Source organism: Homo sapiens, chromosome 1 (genome assembly GCF_000001405.40).
Source record: "Homo sapiens chromosome 1, GRCh38.p14 Primary Assembly".
In the NCBI taxonomy this organism is placed as follows: Eukaryota; Metazoa; Chordata; class Mammalia; order Primates; family Hominidae; genus Homo; species Homo sapiens.
In genome coordinates, this window is record NC_000001.11 from 195844458 (window position 1) to 195855136 (window position 10679).

Sequence of the window (10679 nt, forward strand, 5' to 3'; positions counted from 1 at the left end):
CAAAAAAAGAAAACTAAAGAACAATATCCATGATTGACATAGATTCGAAAATCCTCAAAGAAATACTGGCTAACTGAATCCAACGGCATATTAAAAAGGTAATCCACCATGATCAACTGGGTTTCATACCAGGGATGCAGAGACGGTTGAACATACACAACTCAATAAATGTTATATGCAACATAAACAGAACTAAAAACAAAAATCACATGATCATCTCAATAGATGCAGAAAAAGCATTTGAAAAAACCCAGTCCACCATCACTTTATGATTAAACCCTCAGCAAAATTTGCATAGAAGAAACATATCTTAAAGTGATACAAGCCATCTATGACAAACCCACAGCCAACATTATATTGAATGAGAAAAAGTTGAAAGCATTTCCCCTACGAACTGGAACAAGACAAGGATGCCCACTTTGATCACTTCTATTCAACTTAGTACTGGAAGTCCTAGCCAGAGCAGTCAGACAAGAGAAAGAAATAAAAGGTATCCAAATCGTTAAGAGGAAGTGAAAATTCCTGTTTGCTGATGGCATGATCGTATACATAGAAAACCCTCAAGACTTATCCAAAAAGCTCTTAGAACTGGTAAATGAATTCAGCATCTCTTTTTATTGTGATAAAGTATACATAACAAAATTTACCGTGTTAACTGTTAAGCTCAAAATTCAGTGGCAGTAAATATGTTCACATTTTTGTGCAACCATCACCACAATTTATTTCTACAAATTTTTATCACCTCAAACTGGAACTCTGTACCCATTAAACAGTAACTCCCATTTCTTTCTGCCCACAGGGCATGGCAAGCACCGTTTTACCTTCTGTCCCTATGAATCTGAAAACTCTAGGTACTTTATATAAGTAGTCTCATACAATACTTATCTTTTTGTTTCTTGTTTATTTTACTTTGTACAATATTTTCAAGGTTCATCTAAGTTGTAGCATGTGGCAAAATTTAATATTCCACTGAATGTGTATATATATATATATATATATATATATATATATATATATATCACATTTTGTTTATTTACATACCCATCAATGAACATTTGATTTGTTTCCAGCTCTTGAATACTGTAAATAATCCTGCTATGAACATTAGTGTACAAATATATTTTTGAGTCTCTGCTTTCAGTTTATTTTGATACATATCCAGAAGTGTTCATTGTTGAGTTATATGGTAATCCTATATTTAATTTTTTGAGAAATCACCATGTTTTACAGAGAAGCTGCACCTATTTTACATTCCTACCAGCAGTCCACAAGATTCCCAATTTCTCCGCATCTTCAGTAACGTTGTTTTCTATTTGTTTAACAATAGCCATCCTAATGAGTACAACTTGTGGTTTTGGTTTTCATTTCTCTAATCACTAATGACATTGAGTATCTTTTTGTGTGTGTCTTGGCCATATGTGTATTTTCTATGGAGTATTGTCAGTTTAAGTCTTTTGCTTATTTTTATTGGGTTTTTGTCTTGTTGAGTTTTTATATGCTTCGGATTCTATAACCCTACTAGATGTATGATTTGCAAATACTTTCTCCCAATTTATAAGCAGTCTTTTCACTTTCTTGATGATTTTTTTTTTTGATGCATAGAAGTTTTTTGTTTTGGTAAAGTTCAATTTATCTATTTTTGTTGTTGCTGTTAGTGCTTTTGCATGTCTAAGGAATCACCAAATTCATGAATATGTACCCCTATGTTTTCTTCAAAGAACTAATAGTTTTAGCTCATATATTTAAGTCTTTGATTCACTTTGAGTTGATTTTTGTATATGGTGTAAGAAAAGCTTTCAACTTCATATTTTTAAAATTGTTTTAACATCAGTACAGGTCAATGATCTTCAGAAATAATACATTTTAATTTTCTAGAAAGTAATGGTATGAAGTTCCAACTTTTTTTAAAAAAGACTTTTTTTCTAGCTTCTTAAAATTTTTGTGTTCCAGAAAGAGAATGATAACAGCTTTACATTTTATGGATATTCCATTAAAATTATTATATTTAGTATAAGGGAAGAAGTATAAAGCATCATTTTATTTGTAAAATATTACTGAAATGGTGATTTCTACATGCATTTGATTAGCACAATTATATTTGATATTCTGAGAAGGATATCGAATAGTTTCAATAGATAACATAAATGATTTCTCCGTGAATACTTGACTGACTATAACCATTACTCTATTTCCGAATGTGGATTCAAATGTTACATTAAGTATTAAGTTATTATTCCTGTGAAAGTATATTTTGCTATAAAACCAAAACTACAGGTGAGTGATCAGGATGTAATCATAGTGTCATATACAAGTTTAAAATAGCTTATATGTTATTATGCCTGCTGAGACAGCAAGTTTTATCTTGACAAACTATTGAAAGATCTGAAGCAAATGCTAAATACTATTTTTAAAAATGGAAACAGCAAACTATGAACAATGTTGGAAAAGTACCTTCAAAAAGAAAGACCATGCTGAAGGCTAGGAAAATATTTATCAATTCTTATTGAATTTTCAGTCTAGTCATGATCTGATAACTCTGGATAAACTAAAGGTAGATTAAAATGTCCCGGTCATTGAATACAGAGTCAGAGGGCATGTAAGGGAGGCAGCATAGAGTCAACAGGGTAGGCTTGAAGTCAGATTCTGATTTTGTCACTAACCAGATGTATTACATTAAGAAATAACTTCCCAATGGAAAAATTAAAAATGAAAATATGACTTACTTCAAAGTTGTTTAAGAAACATTTTATGTTTCTTTAATAAACATGTTTTTTAGGAAAACTCTCATAAACAAATAAAATTATATGTAGTTTTGACTAAAGTTTTCAATAAATGTTTAAAAATGTTTCTCTTTTTTATTAGCTATTTAATGAATTAAAATATAGACATATTTGATTCTTGAGTTACAACCAGTAATACTGTTTTTATTTTTAGTTACCTCAATGGCATGGCATTGTTCTTTGCAAATAATACAAATTTTATGCAAAAGGCACATTTATTTTATCTATTTAGTTCTTTATTTTTCTTTTTATTTCTTTGGTTTATGGGTGTGTTTTTTAAATATATGTCTCTGTATACACGATAACCTTTTTATTCAATTACATTTCCCAATTATGATAACTGGTGGAAAATTTAATCATCCTTAGAGACTGATTTCACCACAAGTACATTAATCAGTATAATGAATTCTGGTGAATAAAATTGTAAATATGTTATAGAAAATGGAAGAAAGATGCATAAGTAATTATATTATACAGCATTAAATATATATTTTTTACATATTAACCAGGAATAACAATATAAATATAGCTCTATTCATTCAGTTAAACACATTTAATGAACACCTTTGTGCCAGTTACTACAGTCTATAAACTAAGAATATAAAAGACAGCAAGACATAGGAGTCTCTTCCAACATAACTTAACTTTTGTGGGAAGGAGAGAAATACAAGGTTTCCACGTCCCTGTGAAGAGACCCCAAACAGGCTTTGTGTGAGCAACAAGGCTGTTTATTTCACCTGGGTGCAGGCGGACTGAGTCCGAAAAGAGAGTCAGCGTTGGGCTGGTTGGTCTGAGGACCCGAGGCTGTAGGTGGATCTTTCTCACTGAACAAAGAGCAGGAGGACAGGGGATTGATCTCCCAATGGATGTCCCCTGATCCGAGTCACAGCACCAAATGTCATGTGCGTCCGTGTGAAGAGACCACCAAACAGGCTTTGTGTGAGCAAGAAGGCTGTTTATTTCACCTGGGTGCAGGCGGGCTGAGTCCGAAAAGAGAGTCAGCGAAGAGAGATGGGGGTGGGGCCATTTTATAGGATTTGGGTAGGTAAAGGAAAATTACAGTCAAAAGGGGTTGTTCTCTGGAGGGCAGGGGCGGGGGTCACAAGGTGCTCAGCGGGGGAGCTTTTGAGCCAGGATGAGCCAGGAGAAGGAATTTCACAAGTTAATGTCATCAGTTAAGGCAGGAACAGGCCATTTTCGCTTCTTTTGTGGTGGAATGTCATCAGTTAAGGCAGGAACAGGCCATTTTCGCTTCTTTTGTGGTGGAATGTCATCAGTTAAGGCAGGAACCGGCCATCTGGATGTGTACGTGCAGGTCACAGGGGATATGATGGCTTAGCTTGGGTTCAGAGGCCGGACACAAGGTAATGAGTAAGCAAATCATATATGTTCAGATAGTGACTGACAAGTGTTATCAAGAAAATGAAATAGATGTGAGTGATCGAGAAAGTTGGTGGTTGAGGAATGTACACTAGTGGGGTCAGGGACAGCCAGGCCCTGCTCTCTCTGACAGATCCTCGTCCCACATAAGATAGGATGAGCTTGCTAGATCTCAAAGGCTAATGAAGGTTTGAGGATTAGAGAGAATGATGACTTAAATTCAACTGAATACATTTCTGCTTCTATTTTACTATCAAAGTATCAAAAATGTATGTAAATAAATTCAACTGCACAAAAAAATATATATGAGGCTATGTGGCTAACAGAGACACACCCGAAATTCAGTGTTGCATGAGCCCAGGTGAAGAAAGATTCTGCCAAATCAGAGATGCCTATGAACATGGATTCTACTGTCTTTTATATTGTTTTAGGAAAAATTGCTTAAAGATTATCCTGAAGACCTAAAAGAAATTTATTGCTTGCTGTAATTACACAATTCATTTTTACTTCTTGTTTCACTGTTAAGCTTACTTGGAATTTCAGTGATAGTACTCACCATGGCCAGGTAACTTTTGAGTTGAGTAGCAAATGATAAAATAGACACAAAAGTGTGACAATCTGGGAAAGAAAGCAAAAAAAAATCAGGAGATATAGATGAGTAAGAAGCTAAATATAGGTGTAGTTTCTTGATGACTGTGGAAAGGGGTATATATTTTCCTTAAGCACTATGAGAAGTTAATAGGACTCTTTAAGCCAAAGAATTTCATGACGTAATTTGTGATTTTGAATTATCACATTGGCTATTAAAATGAAAATATATTATAGGGACACATGTAAAAGCATGAAATCTAGCTAAGAAAGTAGAGGCAGTTATTGCTTGCAGTAAGATGGTGCTACTGGAATAAGTGTGAGGTTTAAGGTGATGAAAATAACTAAGAGTAATTCTGAGATATGAGAATTCAGTAAGAAATTGGAGGATTGTACCATTTATTAAAATGGGAGTAGAGTGATATAATGAGCAGAGGTACAATTATGATTTTTTTTGTCTGCCTTTGTGTTTTGATTTTTTTTAAGGAGAAATGTTTCTTTCATTTTTATGCCAATGGAAATGACCCAATATAAAAAGAAAAATTTAGGATTTTAGGTGAATATTATTTCAGGAATGATGTTCTTTAAGAAACTTAGAGGGCATGAGAATTAAATAAAAATTTTAGCAGTTAGACTTTGTTTGGAACAGCAAATCCAGTTCCCCCTGTAAGATAATCAAAGACAGGGACTATGAGTAGTATTAGTAGAGATACAAGTAGCTTTGTGTTGCAAATGTGAAGATTTGGGGAGATTTGTTTGTACTTTCCCAATGAATTATGAGGCAAATCTCAATGGAGGAGCCAAGGATGGAATCATAAGAAGTCTGAGGAGAGAGAAAAAGATAGGATCTTATCTTTATATGTAGAAAAATAAATTTCCTAGAAAAATGTAGTAGGATTGCAAGGCAGTGATATATTTTATGTATTTATTTATTTTTATACCTGACATTATTTTATGTATTTTACAGTAAGCATTCTTGGGTTCTGGAATTTTTATAAATCAAATAAAATTTTTAACAAACATATACAAACATTACTAACCTAAAATTTTGAAACAATTTTCCACCCCAAAAATGGCTATGAAGACAATGGTTGAATTTCTCTAACACAGTTCTATTAAAAATGAGAGTCTTACAAGGCCTTTAGAAATAAATAATCATAAACATGTTTTAATTTAATAGCTCTCTCCCTTATGAAAGTAACAATATAATTTTGGTCTTTTTCCTGGAACTGCTTAAGGCCTGAACATGTCAGGACTATTCCTTTATCCCTACTACATCTGCGACACCTCTAGACAAGAATTTTGTATATTTTAATCTAATGTGTATGTCTTTCAAGTATTGATTAACTTTAAAAATATATACCATAGGCCTTATATTAAACTTTTCTCTCACTTTTTGACAGCCTCTCATCTGAAATATTTTCTAAGTTTTACACACAATGATGTTAATAACATAATTATAATAACAACAAATTGAGAATAAGCTAAAAACACTAAACTAGTGCATGACAAAGTGAATCATGGAGGAATGCAACTTTATGTAGTCATTGAAATAATTTTAGGAAGAGTTTCAATAACACATAATTTTTTGTTATAATGCTAAGTGAAAAAGTACAACACAAATTGCATGTGAAGTATTTTAAACATTTGCCTCTTTGTTCCCAAAATTCTTAATATAGCTTCCAAAATTCCATACTATTCAGTGTGACAAAAAAAATTTTTAACTTGGGAAATGATTGAAAAAGAAAAATTACTGGGGTAAATAAAATGAAACCCTATTAAATTTATCATTCTAAAAATCTGCCAAAAGATATTATACATACTAGCTATTTTGGACACAATTTTTTTTTCTAACTATCCTTAAAACCATGTTTTCCTAATGATAAAACACAAGATCAGTCATATAATTTAGAGCCTCTGCTGAGGAAAGCAAACCAGCTGCTCCTGAGAAGTCCAGCTAAGACTGACGCAGGTACCTGTAAGACTTGCCTGTGCTATCTCATACTCCTTAGCATTCGTAGGACAGCTATAATTCTCTTCAGCAGAAAGGGGATGAAACAGAAGGGAAACACATTAACAGCTTTCCTATAAATACTATTGTCACAAATATACAGTTAAAAAGAGGAAATTACTCTCTGCTCTGGCTCATCAAAAGTCAATCGAAAAGGTCCTGACTCATTTATTTGCATTAAAGTGAGAATACCCCTGTTACTCTTGCTACTGTTGCTGCTGAGGCTGATATGATGAATGACTTTCTCTGCAAGTTTTTTTAAGTAGAAATAATAAGCCACTAATATGTTGGCCTACAATCACACTCTCTCACGAAGTGCACTATATTGATACTAATGTGAGTGAATTATTTCAGGCACAATGTCACTAATGCTTGGGACCACGTATATTTTGGAATGTATTTTTAAATTTTTTGAAGACTAGTAATACAATACATGTAATGCATACTATATGACACTTAATAAATCTGTTAATATTTCTGCAGAGAAACAAAGAAATATTCTCACTTGGTCAGATTAAAAAAAGTATAAATGGCATCACATTTAAAGCATGATTTGCTAACAAATGAATTTACAAAAACTTATACTTTGTTTTTTACTGTTTTTGTTTCATTTTACTTTATTTTATTTTGGAGTAGCGGACATGGGATATTGACCTGAGCATGCAGGGTGGCTATGAAGGTTCAGTGTTATTTTTTAAATTATTTGCCTGACACATAAACTGTGCTCATAGACATTACTTCCTTTGTCCATGTTCCTAGCAAGCCACAGGTCTCATCCAACACGCTATTTTTATAGACCTGTGTTATTCAACAAATAGGAATTTAGAACATCTTGCTAAATGCCCAACAGTGAAATAAGAGACAGGTTTTTATGTGTTACTGTTAGACTGTAAAACTAACAAGAACTTTCAATATTTCACTGTTATTTGTCTTTCATCTGATTTTTAATACAAAAGTAGGACAAGAGTTTATATTTTGATGTGAAGTTCTAATACCTAGAGATATTATATTTATTCATTCTGTAAGATTTCACAAGGTGTTTAATGTGTCTTTTATGTTCCTAAATCCCCAATTCTTCTCCAACTGAAGGACTACAATATGCCTCTGCAAATAATTTAGTGTGCTGGAATGCCCCCCTTCTTGTTTTAGTGTGTTGTATTTACTTAAGACTGATATTTACTAAATAACCAACATTAACATAGTTAACATTAATTCATAAAACTGAGTTCAAATCATACATATAAACATAATTTAAATTTTTCTCCTAAAGGTTTAAGAATTTTCTTGTCAGGAGTAATCTTTTTATGATATGTCACTGATATTATAGAACAAAGTAGCAGCAATAACCATAACAGTTTTGCTTTCTGTGTCTACCATTTCTTTTACACCATTCATGGGTAAATTATACAGTATTTATCACAATACTGAGATATAGGCTGTATTATTATATGCTTACTACTTTTAAAATATTTAAAACTTTTAAAACTTCTGTTTCTTTACACATTGCTAAATGTTCTTAATTGTGATGTTATAAAATAATGTTAACAAAATTCTTAAGATACTTAAAATTAGGGTAAAAAAATAAGCAGATATTTAATTCACATAGAACAGACTCCTGCATTTGTTTCTTCAGAACGTCTTTTCTCAATCCCCACAAGAGTGATTCCAATCTGACTAGAACACTTAAAATCATTATTCTTTCTTGCTTAATGCAAAATAAAAGGAAAAAAGAAAATTATTAAATAGGTCTTTAACTTTGCTTCTGTTTGAAAATTAGTGAAAATAAGTATCTGTTAACTTAAAAGAACACACATGACATGCATAGCACCTGTTTATCATCTATCTACCTACCTACATACGTAAAACTTTAATATTAGATAAATCCATTCTCTGTCTGTCTCTCTCTCTCTCTATCCATCTGTCTCTGCATATTTTAGGTATCTTTAGGAGGTTTCCTTCAGAATAAGGAAGTGAGAATTTTGCATTAAAGTGAGAATACCCTGTTATCCTTGCTGCTATTGCTGCTGAGGATGATCATGATCATAATTAATTATTTTCTCTACAAGCTTTTTATGTAGACATAATAAGCCACTAATATGTTGGCCTACAATCACACTCTCATGAAGTGCACTATAATGATAATAATTAGTGATAGTAATATAATGTGATAGTATCACATTAATTTCACATTAGTGATACTAACAATGCAATACTAATATAATATGTAATGTAATTAATGATACTAATGTAATGTGACAATAATCTGTTTACAACAGATTACTTGATTCTTCAATTCACTATGATATTTATTACTTAACTACTTCACAATGGTGATGACAAGGTTTCCAATTGATTTTCACTAAAAACCTAGCAATAAAGCTTGACTCACTATTGCCAATCTCATATAGTGACATTCAATATTATTATTAAAAATGACTTGACTTTATTAATAATACACTTCCATGCAATCTTTATTCACAGTTGAAGATTCACTGATGTCTGCTGGGTTTTGTTGTGTTACTCTGTTTATGTTAAAAAGAAATCTAACTTCTTGTGCTTCTGCATATGCTTAAATCCTTATTCTTTAAGAATCCACAAAAATATGTATTGACATAGATTTGCCAAAGAATAATGAGCATTATTTTGCAATAATAGGACCCATTCAATTAAAGAAAATGCTCATTAGTAACATATCCATTTTGCCTTGAGTGAGTCATTATGAATCATTATTTCATTTTGGAGAAAATGATATTTGAAAATTTCCAAAGATGTGTCAATGTGGGTTCATCAATTGCAGCAAATATTCCACTTTGGCAAGGATGTTGACAATGGAGGAGGCTAGGCATGTGTGGGTTCAGAGGATATATAGAAAATTTTTATTCCTTCCTTGCAACTTCTCTGTGAACTCAAAATTATTCTAAAAAAAAGATAAAGTCTTTTTAAAAATTACAGGAAAACTTCAAGCCATCATCATTTACACTAATCCAAGAGATTCAAAAAGCATTTTAACATCACAATTTTATACGTAATGGACCAAGAAGAGAGAAATGTTGTTTCTTATTTGCAAGCCTGCTGTGATAAGCTCCCTACAGTCACAAGAACCAAGGAAAATTGAGCAAAAACACCATTTCAAAGGAGGTGAATTGAGGTTGGCTGTTATGAAAGACACTATTTCATACAGAGAATTATTATGGATGTCTCCTTTAAGAATAAGCCCTGGTGACACTAGGATAGATAGAATTTGAGATTTCATATGTAATTTGTTTAGTGCACTTATTCTTACATAGTTTTAGAAAATACACATTTGAAACATTGTAAAGATGAATACATTGTTTTCAATGCTGTTGAGACTATTTGTAAAATTATTTTATGAGGGTAATGCTAATTTATTTTGTTTCTTATGTTACATTTTACTCATCTAAACTTCACAGAAACCTTAGGAAATAGGCACAATGTATATCACTGTTTTACTACTGAGGAAAAAGAATATAGAATAACAAAAACCTTGCCTGTTTATTTAAGCTAGGATTCAAATGCTAAGGGTCATAATCTTAACCACTAAACAATAGATATACTTACTCTTTTTCAAAAATTAATATTTGATTTAAAATATGCTGAGCAAATAATAACCTAGAGAGCTCTCTGATATTGGAACAAAAGACTGAGTTTTGAAATGGAGATCAAATCAATGTTTGAAAATAGATCAGCGCAATACGCTAAACCACTGTCTTATTTTAGTTCATCAGTTGGGTGACACTACACATATGACCTAATATCTTCTATTTATGTTTATGTTCTCTACTCTTTCCCAAACTAGTTTGGGCAAAAATAAAATAATGCCTGGAAATAGGTGGAAGAAAGTGGACAGAAAAAGGGAAGGATTGTCAAAATTGTAAAATTGTCTGGGTTCAGCTTCCATT

General features: G+C 32.0%; 2 annotated features.

The window, feature by feature from the left end:
• Positions 3099-3891: an enhancer, noted in NCBI's record as "OCT4-NANOG-H3K27ac hESC enhancer chr1:195816686-195817478 (GRCh37/hg19 assembly coordinates)". NCBI's record gives its function as "activates a minimal SCP1, AML or CMV promoter by ChIP-STARR-seq in primed H9 embryonic stem cells {active_cell/tissue: H9 hESC(primed)}" and the evidence as "EXISTENCE:reporter gene assay evidence [ECO:0000049][PMID:30033119]".
• Positions 3892-4683: an enhancer, noted in NCBI's record as "OCT4-NANOG-H3K27ac hESC enhancer chr1:195817479-195818270 (GRCh37/hg19 assembly coordinates)". NCBI's record gives its function as "activates a minimal SCP1, AML or CMV promoter by ChIP-STARR-seq in naive and primed H9 embryonic stem cells {active_cell/tissue: H9 hESC(naive and primed)}" and the evidence as "EXISTENCE:reporter gene assay evidence [ECO:0000049][PMID:30033119]".